The sequence below is a fragment of the Homo sapiens genome, chromosome 17, assembly GCF_000001405.40.
Source record: "Homo sapiens chromosome 17, GRCh38.p14 Primary Assembly".
NCBI classification, from domain to species: domain Eukaryota; kingdom Metazoa; phylum Chordata; class Mammalia; order Primates; family Hominidae; genus Homo; species Homo sapiens.
The window spans coordinates 37,466,423-37,488,004 of NC_000017.11; the positions used below are offsets into that span (position 1 = coordinate 37,466,423).

The 21,582-nt window shown below is 43.0% G+C and overlaps 1 protein-coding gene across 11 annotated transcripts in view, besides 1 other annotated feature; it reads left to right on the forward strand.

Annotated features, from left to right (window-relative positions):
* Positions 1–13,303, forward strand: part of TADA2A (transcriptional adaptor 2A) — a 72,840-nt gene extending 59,537 nt beyond the window's left edge. For all 11 annotated transcript variants that reach the window (NM_001166105.3, XM_017024982.1, XM_017024981.2 and 8 more), the window contains 5 exons: positions 1,032–1,103; positions 3,978–4,110; positions 4,672–4,715; positions 8,134–8,207; positions 10,375–13,303. In NM_001166105.3, the coding sequence (NP_001159577.2) occupies positions 1,032–1,103; positions 3,978–4,110; positions 4,672–4,715; positions 8,134–8,207; positions 10,375–10,560 (509 nt within the window). In that variant the 3' untranslated portion in view covers positions 10,561–13,303. The remainder of the gene's footprint in view (positions 1–1,031; positions 1,104–3,977; positions 4,111–4,671; positions 4,716–8,133; positions 8,208–10,374) is intronic.
* Positions 16,712–17,213: an enhancer, noted in NCBI's record as "H3K4me1 hESC enhancer chr17:35843239-35843740 (GRCh37/hg19 assembly coordinates)". NCBI's record gives its function as "activates a minimal SCP1, AML or CMV promoter by ChIP-STARR-seq in primed H9 embryonic stem cells {active_cell/tissue: H9 hESC(primed)}" and the evidence as "EXISTENCE:reporter gene assay evidence [ECO:0000049][PMID:30033119]".

Genomic DNA, 21,582 nt, shown 5'->3' on the forward strand with positions numbered 1-21,582 from the left:
ACAAAATATGTTGGTATGGCAGTAAGGCCTAGATTGTTAAAATAATATGGACTCTGGCTTGTTCTGTACCTTTCATCATGACATTTGTGTATGTGGCTTCTAAGTTTAGTTCTGGGAAGGTAGTCTACTAAGGCCCTTATTCTCACCGTGAAAATATTTCTTACATAGCATTGCAGACATTTATCTGAGCCAGGTTGGTTGTCCTCACCAAACACCTTGTTTGGTTAGCATTCTTTGTGTGGTTTGTACCAGGTGACTGATCCTTTACTTCCTGTCCCAGTTTGGGACACACCCCTGGTTTATGTGTCATTCCAAAACACTACACCCCATGGATTGTCCAGGCTCTTCCTTCATTCTCTGTTTCAAAAGCAGCCAAATTAGAATGATTTGTAGAACTTTTAATAGAAGATAGTTAGAGCAGGGAAACTTGGTTGTTAAAAAAATTATATTTTGCCCAGTGCGGTGGCTCATTCCTATAATGCCAGCTACTTTGGAAGGCCGAGGCGGGTGGATCACCTGAGGTCAGGAATTCGAGACCAACCTGGCCATCATGGCAGAACCCCATCTCTACTAAAAATACAAAAATTAGCCGGGTGTGGTGGTAGATGCCTGTAATCCCAGCTACTCAGGACGCTGAGGCAGGGGGAATTGCTTGAACCCGGGAGGTGGAGGTTGCAGTGAGCCGAGATCATGCCATTGCAGCCTGGGCGACAGAGCGAGACTCTGTCTCAAAAAAAGAAAAAAAAAATTGTTACTTTTGTAGACAAATGAATTTAACCATTTCACTAAGTTTTCTAGAAGACAGTTCCAGCTGCTGCATCTGGAGACAGCAGCTGGAAGATAGCTGGAGTAGGTTTTCCTCAGCTCTTGGGTAAAATTTCTAATGAGAAGTTACCAACGAGTAGGATTCTCCAAATGAACTTCCCTAGTCTTATAAGGCAGAATTAATGAAAATGCTCAATAGCAAAAGTGCTCACTAATGTTGCTTTTGTTTTTGTAATTTTTTCCTTCATTCCTTTTGGGGAAAACAGTGGAATTTGAACTCCGAAGGGAAATCAAGAGGCTCCAAGAATACAGGACAGCAGGCATTACCAATTTTTGTAGTAAGTATGCTTCAGCTACATACCGTACTTGAGGGCAAGTATCTTCCAGACACACAGAGGAAGTCTCTGAATTGTTGTGAATTTTTTTTTAAAAAACAAGCTTTCCTTTACCAGAATGCTTTAAACCTTTCCAGTAAAGTTTTGGCTATTTAATCCCTATAAATACCTTTGTATAGATTATCTTTGGTACTACAAAAGTTGTGAGACAAAGGAAAGAGAGGTGCTGCTTTAGATTTAGGATTCTGCCGAGGCTCTTTAAAAAAAGGGAATCTTGGGCCGGGTGCAGTGGCTCACACCTGTAATCCCAGCACTTTGGGAGGCCAAGGCAGGTGGGTCACTTCAGTCCAGGAGTTCGAGACCAGCCTGACCAACATGGTGAAACCCTACCTCTACTAAAAATAAAAAAACTAGCCAGGCGTTGTGGTGCACACGTTTAATCCCAACTACTCGGGAGGCTGAGGCACAAGAATCGCTTGAACCTGAGAAGCAGTTGTTGTAGTGAGCCAAGATGGTGCCACTGTACTCCAGCCTGGGTGGCAGAGGGAGATTCTGTTTCAAAAAAAAAAAAAAGGAATTTTATATTTTAGGTGTGTCACCCTTTTCAAATTTAATGATACATGGTCTTAGCATTTTTATAAAATAATGAAGCTTCAACTGGCTCCAGGTGCTTGCATCCCAGTTACTTGGGGTAGTGACAATAATTATATTATTAGCAGCTAACATCTATCAGATATTTACCATGTACCAGTCTCTATGCTAACCATTTCACTTGGATCAAGTCAATGAATTCTCATGACAAACTTATAAAGTACCGTTACTTCCATTTAGTGAAGAAATTAAGGTATAAAGAGGTTACAGAGCTAGTTAGTACTAGAACCAGGTCATAAGAGATAGTGTATTATAGTAGTTAAGAGCTTGGGTCTAGACTTAAAAAGCTTGAGTATAAATTTTGGCTCTCCAGCTTGCCAGCTCTGTGATGTGATTCTATCCAAATTTATTTTTCTTTCCTTTTTTTTTTTTCCCTAGAGACTGACTCTTGCTATGTTGCCCAGGCTGGTCTCAAACTCCTGGCCTCAAGCAGTCCTCCCGCCTAGGCCTCTCAGAGTGCTGGGATTACAGGTGTGAGCAACTGTGCCTGGCCTCTATTCAAGTTTTAATTTTCTAAGGTTCTTAGAGTTAGTGTAAAGATTTAATTAGAGATACTGCATATAAGCATAGCACAGTATCTGGCACACAATAATTCCTCAATAAATGGCAGTTTCTGTTGTTTTGCTGTCATTGTTGAAATGATCTTTAGCATTCCCTCCTTCTTCCTATTTGAAGTTTTTGTGATTATTGATAGTTGTCACCTACTATCTATAAGAAATAGTTGGCTTCTTTTTTTTTTTTATTTGAGACGGAGTCTGGCTCTGTTGCGCAGGCTGGAGTTCAGTGGTGCCATCTTGGTTCACCACAACCTCTGCCTTCTAGGTTCAAGCGAGTCTCCTGCCTCAGCCTCCTGAGTAGCTGGGACTACAGTCATGCACCACCATACCCGGCTAATTTTTTTTTTTGTATTTTTAGTAGAGATGGGGTTTATCCATGTTGGTCAGGCTGATCTCGAACTCCTGACCTCAGGTGATCCACCCACCTCAGCCTCCCAAAGCGCTGGGATTACAGGTGTGAGCCACCACGCCCGGCAATAGTTGGCTTCTTAACACAGCCCTGTGGGTGCAACATAGCCTTATGGATGTAAGTTCAGCCTAGTATAATGGCTCTTTAACAGTGGAAACCATTTTTGAAATTAAATTTTGTGTGAGCCCCAATCTACAAATAAGATAAAAGTGGGCTGGGCACGGTGGCTCACACCTGTAATCCCAGCACTTTGGGAGGCCGAGGCGGGCGGATCACTTGAGGTCCAGAGTTCAAGACCAGCCTGACCAACATGGAGAAACCCCGTGTCTACTAAAAATACAAAATTAGCTGGGCATGGTGGCGCATGCCTGTAATCCCAGCTACTCCGGAGGCTGAGGCAGGAGAATGGCTTGAACCTGGGAGGTGGAGGTTGCTGTGAGCCGAGATCGCGCCATTGCACTCAAGCCTGGGCAACAAGAGCGAAACTCCGTCTCAAAAAAAGATAAAAGTGGAATTACTTTGGTTGAACTTTAATGGTTCAATTTATGTGTAGAGCCCAGGACCCGCCGGTATCTGGCAGTGCCCTTTCTCTTTACATTAACCTCTAAGATACTCTTGTGGTATCCTGGGGCTCTGTGGAACCTAGTTTGAATTTTGAAACCCACTGGTGCAGTATTTTGGAATCTGTGAACCTTTGTTAACATGTAGAAAACACCACGCAGCTCTTCTGTTTAGCAAGATGCATATAGAGACTCTGATAACTAATTTTGGTTTCCTGATATTGGCTGCCTCTAAGAAATATGGAGAAGAGGTACTACATGTCAAAGAGAACTCTTTTTTTGTAATTCTAATTGTTTTTTAAGGAAAGGCATATGCTTATAGCACTTGTGTGACTTTGAAAAAATTTATAAAAATAGAAAAAACAGGAAGCAAATATGACTATAGTAAAAGTTGGTTACTTTTTGAGAGTGGAAATATGAGCAATTCTTACTTTCTTTGTACTTTTCTGTTGGTTTTTTTCCCCTTATTTCTTACAGATAGAAAAGGAATACAAATGTTTAATATTTAATACTTAGTATTAAGAAAAGGATTTCAGACTAGGGAAAATCTACTTGGGTCTTGGAGAAATAATTGTGAAAGCAGTTTTGCAAAGGAAACAGACTTTAAGAACAAAACCCAAAACCGGTTTCTTGGTCAGTTAGGAAGCCCTTCAGTTCTGCTGCATTGTCATTGTGGTCATTGTGTTTTCTATACCCCCAGGTGCCAGAACCTACGATCACCTCAAGAAGACACGGGAGGAAGAGCGCCTTAAACGCACTATGCTCTCAGAAGTTCTCCAGTATATCCAGGACAGTAGTGCTTGCCAGCAGTGGCTCCGCCGGCAAGCTGACATGTGAGTAATTACTCCAGGGTGAAGGAGGCATTCTTTCTGGGATGCCTTGGCCTTCACATATATTTTTGGGCACCCTAGATGGCAGAGTAATAATAATTGAGTAGCTGGAAGAATTCAGAAATATTTTAGCAGTCCATCTCAGAAACAGTGCCATACTGACAGTTTTGAGAAATAACTGACCTCCTAGAATCATACTTTACTACTTTGATCCTATTTTTTAAAATGAGTGTATTTTCCCCCAGCCTTCTACCCATGACTTCAACTCTCTCTTCATACCTAGATTTTCACTGGGGAATCATGTTTGTATCCCTTCCCCTTGAGTGGTGTTAGTGGTGTTCTAGATTACAAGCTCTTCTTAACAAATCTGAGGAATTTTTCTTCCTCAGAACAGATTTTCTTTCCTGCTCAATACAGTGAGATATCTGTAAAACATAGTTCAGTCTATCTCATTACACTTCTTCAAGGTGACCTACCTGATAAATGGCACCCAGTCTCACCGGGGCTTTTGGAAATCACCTTGTTTGATATGACCTAAGTTTAAATTCCTCTTCTTCGTTGTAGTGATTCCGGCCTGAGTCCTTCCATTCCAATGGCTTCGAATTCAGGTAATTATTTCTCAGGCCAGAACAAGTCTTAATTGTGAAGTTTGCATCGTAGGGGTTATAGTGACCCAGCAATCTTCCTTCCTCTGTGGTGTCAGGGTGCTTAGGCAGAGTAACAGTAATCAAGTGTTAGCCCAATATATAAACATCAGTATGTTTTCAGAACCTTCATGGCCAGACAGAGACTATCCTCAGAGTGACAGTATAGAGTATAGACAGTATAGAGACAGGGGAAAAAAGAACTTCAGAGAGGTAACTTCTTTATTTTACCAATGTTCATGAGCAGTTAGTTTACTGCAGTTGTGTCTACCACTAATTTTGAGACTTATTTCACAGGAGATAAATTAAAAGCTTTTTATTTTATTATTTTTTATTTATTTACTTATTTTTTGAGACAGAGTCTCGGTCTGTCGCCCAGGCTGGAGTGCAGTGGTGTGATCTCGGCTCACTGCAACCTCCGCTTCCCGGGTTCAAGTGATTCTTCTGCCCCAGCCTCCCGAACAGCTGGGATTACAGGCATGCACCACCACGCCTGGCTAATTTTTGTATTTTTGGTAGGGACGGTTTTGCCATGTTGGCCAGGCTGGTCTCGAACTCCTGACCTCAAGTGAGGCACCCACCACGGCCTCCCAAAGTGCTGGAATTACAGGCGTGAGCCACCGTGCCCAGCCTAAACTTTTTATTTTTATATAACATGAGCAAAGAAGCATGTTACTTGCCAGAAACATAAGGATTTCTGAGTTAGAGACCTAAAGTATTTCTATTTCTTCGTTTTACCTCTTTGAGTATGTCCTATTTTGAAATTAGTATACAGAGCAAGATTAAGCCATACGCTATCTGATGATCCTTGGTGATTGGTAATCGATGACTGGGAATTGGGGGAGGTATGTCTCAGTAGATTCAGAATCTGGGTCTCAGATTTGTCCGCGTTAGGGACTTTTTTTTTTTTGAGATGGAGTCTCGCTCTGTCACCCAGGCTGGAGTGCAGTGACGCGATCTTGGCTCACTGCAACCTCTGCCTTCCGGATTCAAGCGATTCTCCTGCCTCAGCCTCCCAAGTAGCTGGGATTAGAGGCGCCTGCCACTATGCCCAGCTGATTTTTGTACTTTCAGTAGAGATGGGGTTTCGCCATGCTGGCCAGGCTGGTCTCGAACTGCTGACCTCAGGTGATCTGCCTGCCTCGGCCTCCCAAAGTGCTGGGATTACAGGCATGAGCCACTGCGCCTGGTCACTGAAGGGACTTTTTTTTTTCCCCCATTTATTCCTTTATTTCAAGTGATTTTTTCTTAATATGGAAAGAAGAAAAAGGTATTGTTTTAGGGGAGTGGCTAAGACAGTGAAATCAAAGTTTTATTTTGTAAGTTTCTTACTGCCAACACTCTACCCCCAAAATCTAAATACAACTAAGTTAATACTGGCTAATTAAAATGAAGGAACTGGGTCAGGTGCAGTGGCTCATGCCTGTAATCCCAGCACTTTGAGAGGCTGAGGCGGGCAGATCACCTGAGGTTGGGAGTTTGAGACCAGCCTGACCAACGTGATGAAAACCCATCTCTCCTGAAAAAAAAATATAAAAATTAGCTGGGTGTGGTGGTACACATCTGTAATCCCAGCTACTCCAGAGGCTGAGGCAGGAGAATCGCTTGAATCCGGGAGGCAGAGGTTTCAGTGAGCCAAGATCGCACCATTGCACTCCAGCCTGGGTGACAGAGTTAAGACCATCTCAAAAAATAAATAAATTAATTAATTAAATTAAATGAAGGAACTGGCTAACATGATCATATATTTTTGTTCTCTGTACTATCTGCACTGACTTGTTCATTGTTTCTTTTTTCTTTTTTTGTGAGACAGGGTCTCCCTCTACTATCCAGGCTGGAGTGCAGTATGTGATCATGGCTCACTGTAGCCTCAAACTCCCAGGCCTAAGTGATCCTCCCAGTTCAGCTCCTGAGTGGCTGGGACTACAGGTGAATGCCACCAAACCTGGAGAAATTTTTTTTTTTTTTTTTTTTTTTTTGGTAGAAACAAGGTCTTACTATATCACCCAGGTTGGTCTTGAACTCCTGGGCTCAAGTGATCCTCCTGCTTCAGCCTCCCAAAGTGCTCAGATTACAGGTGTGAGCCTCTGCACCCGGCCTCTTGTTCATTGTTTGTTCCTAGCCTGTGTTAGCCTTTCTCACCCCTTATATTTAGGCTGAGGAGATCTCTTGCTCTCCTTTATGTTCTGAGTTCTTAAGGCAACTATGTATTGGAAGCCTGGCATCTTTGATTGTAGCCTAGCCTCTGGTGACTTTTGTGAGGAACCAAATGGTTTTATCTCCCTTTTTGAGGATTTGGAATAATCCCTTATGCCTTTTGTTGATGTAACAGAGAAGCCTGTTTTCCACCAGTGGAGCTTGTAACAGTCCCTCCCCTTTCTCTGCCCCACTTGAAAAGCAACCTCTATAAAACTTCGACATTTTCTTTGCTTAACTCAGTCTATCCATTCCCAGCTGAATACCAATCCCTAATACACATTCAAAACAAAACCAAAAAAGTTTTGCTCATCAAGCTTCCCCTCCTGGCCAGTGACCTCCTACTTGGGTTTCTTTCTCAGGTGTGTGAGTTGACCTCAGCCCCTGCTTTGCCATATAATGGCTCATTGTTCCTGTTTGTGGATCTTGCAGGTAAACAGGGCTACTTTGGAAGGAACAGATATTCCCTCACATAATAAAAAAGAAGGGCCTTTTGCTGGCCTAACAGTCTTTCTTTGATCTGAAGGCACACAGTACTTGGTTAATTACCATGTTTGCCTTGTACTGCTGGCCGAGTGGCAAGGATTAGGGAATGTCTGTTCTGCAGTTATTATTTCCATTCGTCAGCTGTCAAAGCAGGCATTGTGTGATGTTTCTTAACTGGATGACATCTGGGCATCAGATTTTAGAGTCTCCTACATGGTTAGGAAGAAATAGGTGATAGTCGGGCATGGTGGCATATGCCTGTCTTCCCAGGTAGTTGGGAGGCTGAGGCAGGAGGATCACTTGAGCCAGGGAGATTGAGGCTATAGTGAGCTATGATCGCAACACTGCACTCCAGCCTGAGCAACAGAGTGAGACCCTGTCTCAAAAATAATAATAATAAATAAGAGATAACTACTGTGGTGAGTAGTTACATTTGATGCTAAGGTATGTGTGACTGTATGTGTATTTTAGCAGATTATGGGTAATTCATGTGCCCTGAATATGTAATTCATTTTCAAGTGAATGTTCGGGTGCCCATGTTGTTAGCTAAACAGGCCTGAGGGAATGGGACAGGATTTCCTAAGCTGGATATAGTGATCCTATACCTAACTGGCCTGGCTGCACTGAACTTTTTAATACTTTACACCTGAGAAATTGTCACTCCTATTAAATCTATGCTGTTTCCTTTCTCTGTCTATAGGTAGACGGAGTGCACCACCCTTGAACCTCACTGGCCTCCCTGGCACAGAGAAGCTGAATGAAAAAGAAAAGGAGGTAACAAAAGGGAGGGGGCTGGGAGAAAGAGAATAGGGGCTGATTATTCATTGAGTTGTCATTAAAAATCCATTACAGGGTCAAACCCCTTTTGTTTCATTCATCTAACATATATGCACAGCTCTGGTGAATCCTAGAAGTCCAAGAGCTAAAGAGCCGTTTGTGGCAGATTTCAGAGAATTGCTTACCTTGTCACCCTACCACCATTCCTCTTTTGGGGAAAGCACATGTGGTATGTAGATGACATAATAATAGCAACTATCATCTATTGAGCACTTACCATGTGCTACTCTACTGAGTGCTTTATGTAAATAAAATTAATTTTTTGTAAACCTAAAGTAACTTCTACATGAAAATAGATATTTCCTATTAGAATGGCTGCCTTGAAAAGTTCTATACTTATTCCAACAACATAATCATTATTTAAAACATTTTTGTAAATTGTCTCCAGAGCATGTTTATAAACCTAAGGAAAAGATTTCTACATCATATATAGTCATGTTAATTTTGATTTTAAAAATTATTTTTTATTTTTATTTTTTTTTATTTATTTATTTTTTGAGACGGAGACTTGCCCTGTCACCCAGGCTGGAGTGCAGTGATGCGATCACAGCTCACTGCAGCCTCCACCTCCCAGGTTCAAGCGATTCTTCTGCCTCAGCTCCCCGAGTAGCTGGGACTGGACTATAGGCGCTTGCCACCATGCCTGGCTAATTTTTGTAGTTTTTAGTAGAGATGGGGTTTCACCATGTTGGCCAGGCTGATCTTGAACTCCTGACCTCATGATCCATCCACCTTGGCCTCCCAAAGTGTTGGGATTACAGGCGTGAGCCACCTCACCCGGCCTATTTTTTATTTTTTATTTGAAAGTCTCGCTCTGTTACCCAGGCTGGAGTGCAGTGGTGTGATCTCGGCTCACTGCAACCTCTGCCTCCCGGGTTCAAACGATTCTCCTGCCCCTGAGTAGCTGGGACTACAGGCGCATACCACCACACCCGGCTAATTTTTGTATTTTTAGTAGAGACGGGGTTTCACCTTGTTAGCCAGGCTGGTCTCGAACTCCTGACTTCAGGTGATCCACTCACACCAGCTCCAAAAGTGCTGGGATTAGAGATGTGAGCCACTGCACCGGCCTGATTAAAAAATTATGTGACCTACTTTTTCCAGTTGCAATCATCAGACATGTCTTCATATTGATTTTATCTGTTTCTAAAATTTAAAGCCAGCCTCATAAGAGTCATCATCAGGAGTTTTCAGAAAACTTTGTCACATCTCTGAAGTCTGTTCCTCTTTTGGAGGAGTTCCTCTTTTGCTCCTCATATGCTCCTTTTATAATTCCCAAGGTCAGTTCCCCATCTCCCACCATATATCATTAGTTCAGTTCAGATAATAAGGAAGGGTCATAGTGTAGGGGATAGTGTTAGTCTTATTTTATCCACCAGGAACAGTAAGGATTAGTTTGGGAGTGGAAGGAAATGTATGTAGTATCTATGTATTGCTGAAGGAGGTCATAGGTCAGCCTGATTCAAATATTGAATGGCCTGGAATTTCAAGCTTTTTTTATCCTTACCCACATAATGGTGACCTCAGACTCCTCATTGCTGGATAATGTGGCAATTTTCTAGATTTTTAGCAGTTAAAGTTACCTCCTCTTAGCAAGGTCTCTTTATCTCCTTTCCCTTTGAAGTAGGAAATGTAATCCCCAAAGCAGGGACTACTGCTTTATGCTGACACTAAAAACAATGTGATGCAGCCTTGAGAATCCAAGTGTCTGTGCATTCTGCCCCCACTGTGCCCCATGGCTCTTCCCTGACCATTGGTGCTGGGACTGTACCTGGGCATTTAGTGTTTGACTCCTGAAAGAGCCAGGCTGCTCCTCAGGAGCACATAGTTGTAAATCCCTAACAAACCCAGGCCCCTGAGCCAGCTGGCATGTGCTAAAGGCTCTTCTAGTATCACACCCTGGCTTTCTCTTCCTGGGTGTGTGTCCTTAGGGAGTGTTCTCTCCAGAGAGGAAGAGACTAAATGGAATGTAGTCCAGCCACCCATCAGCTCCTATAAATAGTTGGAGGTTGATGTCACTTTAAAAAATTTTTTGCTATACCTGCTGGATTAAATTACAAAAATGACAGATGTTAATGTTTATTAAATTTGCCGTGTCTTGCAGCTCTGTCAGATGGTGAGGTTGGTCCCTGGAGCCTATTTAGAATACAAATCTGCTCTATTGAACGAATGTAACAAGCAAGGAGGCTTAAGACTGGCGCAGGCAAGAGCACTCATCAAGATAGATGTGAACAAAACCCGGAAAATCTATGATTTCCTCATCAGAGAAGGATACATCACTAAAGGCTAAGGCTCCAAGAGCTTGGGATCAGAAGTCAGAAGTTTGGAATGTGGTGGGTCAAAGGACAATATGGGTGGGCATTCTGGAGAGTTGTTTTTCAGCTGAATTCTCATGGTGAAAACAGGGGAAAGGACAAAGGAAACCTTAAGTTGTATTGTCTACTTTCTTCTCCATCCTGCTTTAAAACACTCCTGTTGTTGGTATTATGCTGCAGAGTTGTGTGCTACATAAGCTATTATTAAATGTGAGTGGGCATTCATTCCTAACACCTCTTGTAACTAAAAGAACCATAGTACCTCACATCACAGTGCTGGTAGAAATGGAACTAAACCACAGTCTGTAATCCCAGGAGTCCAGCTCAGATCCTTATATTGCGAGGTAAGTTTGCTGATTATCTGTCTTGCCTTCAAACACTGCAGACAGATTTAAAATAAAGAGAAAGGTTTTAGAGCATAAGAAAGCTCTCGTTGAAGGATTTTTTAAGCTGACAACTTTTTTTTTTTTTTTTTGAGACAGAGTTTGCTCTTGTCCTCCAGGCTGGAGTGTGATGGCAAGATCTCAGCTCACTACAACCTCTGCCTCCCAGGTTCAAGTGATTCTCCTGCCTCAGCCTCCCGAATAGCTGGGACTACAGGTGTCCACCACCACACCTGGCTAATTTTGTATTTTTAGTAGAGACAGGGTTTTGTCATGTTGGCCAGGCTGGTCACAAACTCCTGACCTCAGGTGATCTGCCCGCCTCAGCCTCCCAAAGTACTAGGATTACAGGCGTGAGCCATCGCGCCCGGCCTAAGCTGACAACTTTTATGAGTAAAGGGGAAGAAAATATCCTTATGATGGTCTTATCCCAAACTGCATCTTTAACTTCGGCCGGGCAAGGTGGCTCACCTGTAATCCCAGCACTTTGGGAGGCTAAGGTGGGCGGATCACGAAGTCAGGAGTTCAAGACCAGCCTGACCAACATGGTGAAACAGTCTCTACTAAAAATACAAAAATTAGCTGAGTGTGGTGGCACACGCCTGTAATCCCAGCTACTCAGGAGGCTGAGGCAGGAGAATTGCTTGAACACAGGAGGCAGAGGTTGCAGCGAGCTGAGATCACGCCACTGTGCTCCAGCCTGGGCAACAAAGTGAGACTCTGTCTCAAAAAAAAAAAAACAAAAAAAAACCTTTAATGTCTGGCTTTGTACTTTGCAGTCTGCCTGTCTAATCTGCAGTAGTCTTTTGAGGAGGTGGCACCGGATATAACATGTCTCTGTTATTTTTAGAATTAATTAAAATGTTTTGCTATTTAATTTGTGGGTGTGTCAAATATTCTGGTAACTGAAACACACTTAAGGTGTTGGATGCCTGCCCCATCACGCTGCACTGTCTGCTGTCACATGTGTCCTGAACTCACCCTGTTTTTGCCCTGGGTTTCCCAGGATACCAAGCCCCTGAGGATGGAGATGATGCAACAAACCTCAGCTTTGCTTGGATTGTGACTTGAACCCTATTTCTCAATGGTGAAAGGCTAGCCTGCAATAAAAGCTGCTTTTAAAACAGAAGTAAAGCAGCTTTATATATGGGACTCACTAGATATGAGGGTAAGTAGCCCCACCACATGTAAAACTTGGTCCTCAAACGTTTCTGCAGAATAAGAAGCCAAACTTATGGTTATCTTGTTTCTGTTAGAAACAAAGTTGTATATAGAAATAACTTCGTCAGAATCGACACAAATCACATCGAATAGTTGACTGTTTAATTCCTTCTACATTCAAATATCTAATTAAAATACTGTGTGCTTTGTTGGAAGCATCTGCTCAAACTTTTGACTGTTGTAAATATGCATGCAGCTGGGAAGGGATTCATCTAAGGGATAAGAAATGAAAAAGACACTCTAAGGACCTGAGGGAATTCAAATAGAGGACTTCGATTTTTTAAAAAGAATGACGTGGAAATGACCTGTTTTCCTTGTAAAATCATATCTCGTAGAAAACATTTTACCACTACCATCACCCCTAGTTGGTTGTGAAGTGATTGCCTCTTATCCCTGAAAGGAAACTCCTGTTCTGAAAAGTTGGGATGCATTAGCCATCAGTGTTAGGTGACGTCTGTTGTAGTCTGAAGAGTCCTTAACCTTGATTAAGGAAGGCTTCCTGGGAGAGGTGGGCTTTTGGGGCAATTATATGATAGAGAAGAGAGAGAAAAATGGCAGATGGAAGTGGGAGACAATTCCACACACAGGGGGTGGAGAATGATGTGGAGGCAGCAGTGGGTGTAAGGACAATGGTGCCAAGAGATTTATTTGGCTAGAACACAAGGGGCAGCTGGGTAGTTAGGAGTGGGAGGATGGTAGGACAGTCTGACAGAAACCTTGGAAACAGTTGAACTCTGAAAAGCTGATGGCAAATCAGATTTCATGAGGAAAATGGCATGGTTGAAAATAGTAATAGAAAAATAAGACTGAAGTTTTAAATGACTGGATTTTTGAAAGTAGGATTATTATTTCTTTGGTATACCGAACTTTGCAAAGATACGTAGCATTGCATCCTTCCTCTTTGCTTCTAGACAGGGTTGGCCATAAACCAACTACACTGATAGAGGTCTCTCCAGATTGTCTCAGAAGAGAGAGTTTACCCTGAAACTTAATGACATGAATAAAACCTGTTTACTGAAATTTTTATTGCAATTTAACGTTAAAAGTTTCTGCTGGAGTTTTATGCATATTTTTCTCTCTAAGTGGTGGGAAATAAAGAACAAATCTCTTTCCATGTAATGACTCTTCTCTGTGCTCAAAGACCAAGACTCTGTCTCTTGCGATACCAATTAATACTAAATATTCAGTTTATCTTTTCCTGGGTCCCAGTTTCTTTCCTTTTATTGTTAACCGTCTTCACTTCCCCCGCTTTTAAAAATCTGAACTCAGTTAAGCAACCAGTCATTGAAATGACTGGGGGTTAGCTGGAAAAGGGAGAAAACCAATGGCATTCATCAATAACAACAAAATCCCAGTTTGTAGGACATTCTAGCTTTAGGAAATATGTAGGTATGTAACAAGAGAAAAAATCTGCATTGAAGAATCAGAGGCCACATTACACAGCAGTTTGGGAAAACTCACTCATAAATATGTATGAGTTTTATTATTTCTTTGGTAAACCCAGCTTTGCAAAGCTTTATGCCTAGAATCCCTCCAAAAAACACTTTTTCACCCATCTTTAAGCAAACAGTGGTACTGTATTCTCAACAGCATTCTGGGGAACTTCGCCCATTCATTTTTAAGGATATCTTTGTGGACACCTTCTAAATGTACATTGCATTATTCTTGACAACACAAAAGGGTTTTCTGTATCTTATATGCACCTAGCTTTTTGTTTGAATTTCTAAAAATTATATTGAAATAAAAGTTTGATTCAAGAGGTGCTGCTGATCTGGAAGCTTTGCTTTCCTTTCCAACGTGCTTAGCCAAATGCAGCTAACCTTTCCCACATCTGCCAGAAGGGACCATCTTTGGAACACGAGGACACTGCCATGTCTGTGGCCTTGCATAGAAGAGTTGGCCAAGCTAAAAGAATTCTTTTTAATCAGACACTGGCTGGGTGCAGTGGCTCATGCCTGTAATCCTAGCACTTTTTGTGGCTGAAGTGGGAGAGTCACTTGAAGCCAGGAGTTTGAGACCAGGCTGGACAACACAGCAAGACCCCCATCTCTACATTAAAAAAAAAAGAATGCTGGGTGTGGTGGCTCACGCTTTTTCTCCTAGCTACTTGGAAGGCTAAGGCAGGAGGATTGCTTGGGCCTGGGTAGTCAAGGCTGCAGTAAGCCATGATTTGTGCCATTGTAATGTAGCCTGAGTGACAGGGCAAGACCCTGTCTCTACCAAAAAAAAAAAAAAAGACGATACCTAGTCCTTTTGAGCCAAATGTAAGTGAAACAGAGCAAGAGCAGGGTCACAGCAGCCTGAATAGTAATAGTCCTGCTGACATAGGCACTTGATTTGGGAGTGAGAACAATAGTGAAGAGTTTTTAGGCCAGTGGCTCATGCCTGTAATCCCAGCATTTTGGAAGGATGAGGTGGGCGGATCACTTGAAATCAGAAGCTCAAGACCAGCCTGGCCAACATAGCGAATCCCCGTCTCTACTAAACATATAAAAATTACCCAGGCGTGCTGGTTCACGCCTATAATCCCAGCCTCAGGGAGGCTGAGACAGTAGAATCACTGGAACCCAGGAGGTGGAGGTTGCAGTGACCCGAGATTGCGCCACTGCACTCCAGCCTGGGCAACAGAACAAGACTGTCAAAAAAAAAAAAAAGTGAGGAGCTTTTAACTTGGGAATTTGGAACCTAAGTAGCCAGTCCTTGAAGTGTGCATCAGAACTGACGTGTTAGTGTGCTGTGTTTGAGGAGGGAAAAATGAACAGTTGCTGAGAGGTATGGAAAACCAGTTTCTTTGTCTAATGGCAGGGAGTTCTTTTTCTGTTGTTTGTTGCCTTGGCTTCCAGCAGTTAAGGTGTACTGCAATCAAACTGCCCTTTGATTTGATTGACTAAGCTACAAATCAGAGACATTATTTAAGGGAAAGGTGAATGTCGTGCATCTGCCATCACAATTCCTTTGTCACTTGAGTAGCTTGTTATGCATTGTGTCCTAGGCCCCCTTCCCTGTTGACAGTAGGAATAAGGAAATGGAGATAGCACAGGAAGTTAACCACTAAAAGGTTCCAACCCCTGAAAACTACAAAAAATTTATTTCATAGATGTAGCCCTGAAGGTCACTGTACTTACCCTTGTCTTGGAAAACCCTGTAGTTAACTTTTGCCAGCCCAGACTTGGTCTGGATAATTGAGTCTGATGCACCTATTTTCTACGTTAGAGCACCAGAATGGATTTTTGTGGCACCAAACTAATCATTTGGTTGAATTAACCCCCTCTTCTTAACCAAGCAACACTTTTTTCATCTTGGTCTGGTCTCCCCTGAGGCTGTGGGTGGCAAAAAGCTTCCAGGTAGCTTATAATAATCCTGCCTTGGTCCAGAGTTGTGTTGAACAGAATCAGCATCTTAGGAAATGTGGAAAGGAGAAGGTCTCACAGTTGTTTTAAGAAACCAGCACTTTCTTAAGCAGAAATGCTGAAATGCTGCCATCAAATCACCCTTATTCAGTGAACTGACAGCCAAGTGCCAACTCATGACACTTCTAACATATCTCTCCTCTTGTTGGAAAGCTAGCTGCCGAGTATACTCTCCATTTCTGAAATTGTTCGCAATGACGTAAGACTTTCTTCCTATTGAACAATATATAACTATTGATTTGGATCCTTCCCTCGCCCCTCACCTTTCATTATCATCATTTAGGGAATTCCTTTAAAACAGAAAAACATATTAAGAAGTTAAAAATCAACGGAGGGCAGGCGTGGTGACTCACACCTGTAATCCCAGCACTTTGAGAGGCTGAGGTGGGCAGATCACTTGAGGTCAGGAGTTCGAGACCAACCTTGCCAACATGTTGAAACCCCGTCTCTACTAAAAATACAGAAATTAGGCGGGCGTGGTGGTGCATGCCTGTAATCCCAGCTACTTGGGAGGCTGAGGCGGCTGAGGCAGGAGAATCGCTTGAACCCAGGAGGTAGAGGTTGCAGTGAGCCAAGATGGTGCCACTGCACTACAGCCTGGGCGACAGAGTAAGACTCTGTCTTTAAAAAAAAAAAAAAAAAGGAATTTGGGCTGTGGGCTCTTAATCATTTCTGATAACAGTTACTACCAGAGATAACTAGCTCCTGGACCGAGGGAGAGAATAGTGCATTTGCCCAATTGATGTCCCCCTATAAGAAAACTGATGTTTTTATTTCAGTTTCTAATCTTATTTCAGTTTCTAATCTTTAGGAAGTTGTCCAATTTTTGGGGTAATTTAATAGCTTTTCCCAAAAATTATTGAAAAAAGAGCAAAAAGTTCAGAAATGCCTTGAAGACTCTAGCTGAGATGGATGGACTGATTCGAACTTTTAGTAGCAGACGAGACAGCAGGATTCCGACCCTGAGATCAGGTTATTTGCTTTGGAGAGGTGGGGTAACAGCTTTTCCACACAATATCCCTAGTAGGAACCTCTTTTTAGCCTTTTTAAGGGCAAACGGCAGCTGATAAAGCCACTCCCGTGGAGGCAGAAACATTTAAGCTCTAGCCACAGACAGGTGATAGGAATGTCAACCTCACCTGGCTGTCAACCCCAACAAGAAAATCTTGGCCTTGTTCTGGGCGTGCATAGCTTCAGATTCAGGACACTTGTCAGATCTAAGATGGGCATAGGTTTTAATTTCATTTAATTTCAACTTCCAATGATACAAATGGAAGATGCAAAGTGAAATGCTTTTGAGAGCAAAGTCTCCCAGGGGTGCCTCCACCCACCCCCAGCGACTGTGCAAAAGAAGGCGTTTGTGGGAGAGAAGGGTGACTATAGACGTCATTGCATCATCCAGATCCCAGCTGTGACCTGGCTCAGAGTTTTCCAGTTAAAAATAACCATGGCTTACAATTGGGGGAAAAGAGTAAACTGTTCCGTCTCCATGGAAACTAGGAGTGTGTGTTGAGGGGTGGGGGGAAGACAAGCTACAGATTTCTAGCACATGTGGCAAGATGGGGTGGATGTAGGGACCAGAAGCTTAGAGGCCCTCTGATGAAAGTTGATACCCCTATTTAGCATCCAGGATGTGGCCAGACACTGCTCCAGGGCTCTGGAGACACTGCATCAAGGATTTGTTTACAACGATGTGTACATCTTGGGTCTGGTGATGAATTAATTTGAGTCTTCTGACTTCCTGTAACAGATTTGCTACTATTTGGCAAAGCAAAGAGCAGATGAGCAAGACTGTAGGTTAGATGTTGCCTTTTAATCAATCTGGGAACCTCCACTACCTTTCCATTCACATTCTGTTTCTTAGCATATTCAGCACACCTTCATTTGCATATTCAGTAGTTTGGTTATGACACATGTAGTAGTTTATAACTAGAGGAGAAGTCTCCAGGTTTTTTGGGCTGGTTTGGAAATTTACTCCCCTTCAGTAAGACCAGGTTTTCTTCTTTGTTCCATGAGTTTACGCAAAGCATCATTCATTAGCTTGTTTGTCTTTAAAGGTAGGTCTCTTACCATTTCTGGTATACTTACTACCAGAGATAACTGACTCCTGAGGGAAGAATAGTTCGTTTACCCTTTTTAAAAAGGTCTCTTTAAAATTTTCTTTTCTTCAAATACATTCCAGTTGTAAACAAAATCGTTTTAAACACTCATTTTATTTTTATTTTTTTTGAGACGGAGTCTTGCTCCCTCGCCCAGGCTGGAGTGCAGTGGCACAATCTCGGCTCACTGTAACCTATGCCTCCCAGATTCAAGCAATTCTCCTGTCTCAGCCTTCTGAGTAGCTGGGACTACAGGCGTCTGCCACCACGCCCAGCTAATTTTTATATTTTTAGTAGAGATGGGGTTTCACCTTGTTGGTCAGGCTGGTCTCGAACTCCTGACCTCAGGTGATCCACCCGCCTCGGCCTCCCAAAGTGCTGGGATTACAGGCGTTGAGCCACCGCGACCAGCCATTTATTTATTTTTTGAGATGCAGTCTCACTGTGTCACCCAGGCTGGAGTTGGAGTGGTGTGATCTCGGTTCACTGAAACCTCTGCCTCCCTGGTTCAAGCAATTCTCCTGCCTCAACTTCCCGAGTAGCTGGGATTACAGGTGCACACCACCACACGCAGCTAATTTTTGTTATCTTTAGTAGAGACAGGATTTCACCACGTTGGGTCAGGCTGGTCGCCATCTCCTGACCTCAAGTGATCCACCTGCTTCAGCCTCCCAGAGTGCTAGGATTACAGGCGCGAGCCACCTCGCCCCACCAAAACACCCATTTTAAAATTAAGATTTACAGAGCAGGCTGGGCACAGTGGCTCATGCCTGTAATCCCGGCTACTAGGGAGGCTGAGGCAGGAGAATCGCTTGAACCCGGGAGTTGGAGGTTGCAGTGAGCCGAGATCGCGCCATTGCACTCCGGCTTGGGCGACAAGAGTGAAAACTCCGTCTCAAAAAAAAAAAAAAAAAAAAATTATAGAGCAAATAACTGAGGAAGAAGTAGGGATTGTTGACATTACTGGCTCTCTACAGCTAAATGCTTTCTTGTTTACCTGCCTGGTGTACTGAAAAGATCTGAGCACTAATCCCTGTTCTGGTATTTAATAATAATGCAACCTTGGGCAGTTTCTTAATACTTATGTCTAAAGTGTGGTTGGTAATACCTACCTGACTGGGTTGATGAAGATTAAATGAGCCGGGTGTGGTGGCTTACGCCTGTAATCCCAGCACTTTGGGAGTCCAAGGCGGGTGAATCGCCTGAGCTCAGGAGTTTGTTTGTTTTTTTGTTTTTTTGTTATTGAGACGGAGTCTTGCTCTGTCGCCCAGGCTGGAGTGCAGTGGCGCGATGTCTGCTCACTGCAAGCTCCGCCTCCCGGGTTAACGCCATTCTCCTACCTCAGCCTCCTGAATAGCTGGGACTACAGGCGCCCGCCACCACGCCCGGCTTTTTTTTTTTTTTTTTTTGTATTTTTAGTAGAGACGGGGTTTCATGTTAGCCAGGATGGTCTCAATATCCTGACCTCGTGATCCGCCCGCCTCGGCCTCCCAAAGTGCTGGGATTACAGGCGTAAGCCACCGCGCCCGGCCTGAGCTCAGGAGTTTGAGACCACCCTGGGCAACATGGTGAAACCCTGTCTCTACTAAAATACAAAAAATTAGCTGGGCTTGGTGGCGCACGCCTGTGGTCCTAGCTACTCGCACCACAGCACTCCAACTTGGGCTACAGAGTGAGACTCTGTCTCAAAAAAACAAAACAAAAACAACAAAAGATTAAATGTGTTAAGGTATATAACACACCTGGTGCCTCCCTTCCTTTTCTTTTCCCACTGAGCCTTTGACATTTAGTTTCACTGCGGTCAGGTATGAGCAAGTACATGATTTTCCTGTACCACCCAATTCACATCATGCAAAAGTCTCACAGAGAGGGACATGAAGATCTGCAAGAACAAATGTTAAAACAGACAGATGTGCATTTTACAAGGATGTTGTTTATCTTGAAATTCTCATCACTGCATCATTGCTACTGCCCAAGGGTTGAATTAAGGGCAAAACATTTCAGAGACAGATTTGAAATTACCTAATTATCCTAGACATGTTGTAATGTTCCCTTTTATAATGCCTGGCTCAAAAAGCTTGATGTCAGGTTACAGAACTGTATGCATTCTTTGATTGTAATTGTGTTAACAATAGTAAAAAATCTTGCATACAATCAAGACCAGAAAGAAATCCAGATGCTAATTGTTGTTTTGTTAAGTAATAAAATGGTGGTAAGCAATGCTTTTTCTCTTTTTGCTTTTTTTTCTTTTTCTTATCTGTAATGTGACAATTCTTTATTACTTGGAAAGTACATTTTATGAGAACTGTGAAAACTCGGAAAGTAGAAGTTCAAAGTATTTTACATTTAATAACATCTAGCTAATCCTTATGATATCTAGATAAGGTGCTACTTTACATCTTATGAAATAGCACAAGCCTTAGGCAAACTTCTGTAGTAGAAGAAATGTGTTCTGAGACTTCTGAGACTTCTATCTTGCTAGTTTTTAAGATATCTTTTCTCCCAGAAACCTGGTGTCCAGTGTCCCTCTCAAATCTGCCAAAGGACAGTAGCTTAAAGATTTACTTATCTCAGGGGAGTTGCATTTTTATAGCCATCAATGGCATATAATTTGGAATTAGAGGCACAGGCAAGCAGGCCTTCCGAATCTCTGTGAGCCACAAGACCCGATGGCACCCTGAAATCAAACTTCTGTAGACTGGGAGCCTTGTTGACCGCTGTTCCCCAATTCTGACAGATCAAAGCTGTTGCTAATTTGTTAACCAGAGGCAGTGATACAAATGGAAGATGCAACTATTCATTCTGAGGGACGCATAAAAGTCTGATTAATCTAAGGAGCAGTCATTGCCCAAGCAGTTAAGGAGAATATTTTTGGAAAGGCAGACATCAGAAGCTAAGCAGAGTACAAATTTCCACCCTCTACTTACTGTATTAATCATATCAGCTCTCACTCTTCGTAGATGCTGCCCTGCTCGAAAGCACTGGTTATTTAGCTGGGAGTCAGGAGAACCCAAACCCTCCCTGGGCATAGACAAATTGTAATTTTATAGCAGACAGCCTCTAAAATGTTTCTACATCCACAACAGTTGACACTGCCAGGCGCAGTGGCTCATGCCTCTAATCCCAGCACTATGGGAGGCTGAGGTGGGAGGATTGTTTGAGCTTAGGAGTTCGAGACCAGGCTGGGCAACATATTATTTAAAGAGACTAGGTCTCTTTAGTAATAACAAGGCCAGGTGCGGTGGCTCACGTCTATAACCTCAGGGGGCATCACCTGAGGTCGGGAGTTCAAGACCAGCCTGACCAACGTAGAGAAACCCTGTCTCTACTAAAAACACAAAATTAGCCAGGCGTGGTGGTGCGTGCCTGTAATCCCAGCTACTCGGGAGGCTGAGGCAGGAGAATCACTTGAACCCGGGAGGCGGAGGTTGCGCTGGGCCGAGATCGTGCCATTGCACTCCAGCCCAGGCAACAAGAGCGAAACTCCGTCCCCCCCAAAATAATAAAAACTAATTAGCCAGGCGTGGTGGCGTGCCTGTAGTCCCAGCTACTTGGGAAGCTGAAGTGGGAGGACCACCTGAGCCCGGGAAGTGGAGGCTTCAGTGAGCCATGATTGCACCACTGCACTCCATCCTGAAGCCTATCTTAAAAAAAAAAGAAGAAAAAGTGACACCTATAAAAAAACTCACATACTTATAGTCCAGAAATGTGCTGTCCAGTAAGGTAGCCACTAGCCACATGTGGCTATCTAAATTTACTAAAATAAAATTTTAAATTCACTTCCTTAGTTACACTAGCCATATTTCGTGTTCAGTAGCAACATGAGGCTAGTGGCTACTGTACTGGAGAGTGGAGATACAGAACATGTCCATCATCACACAAAG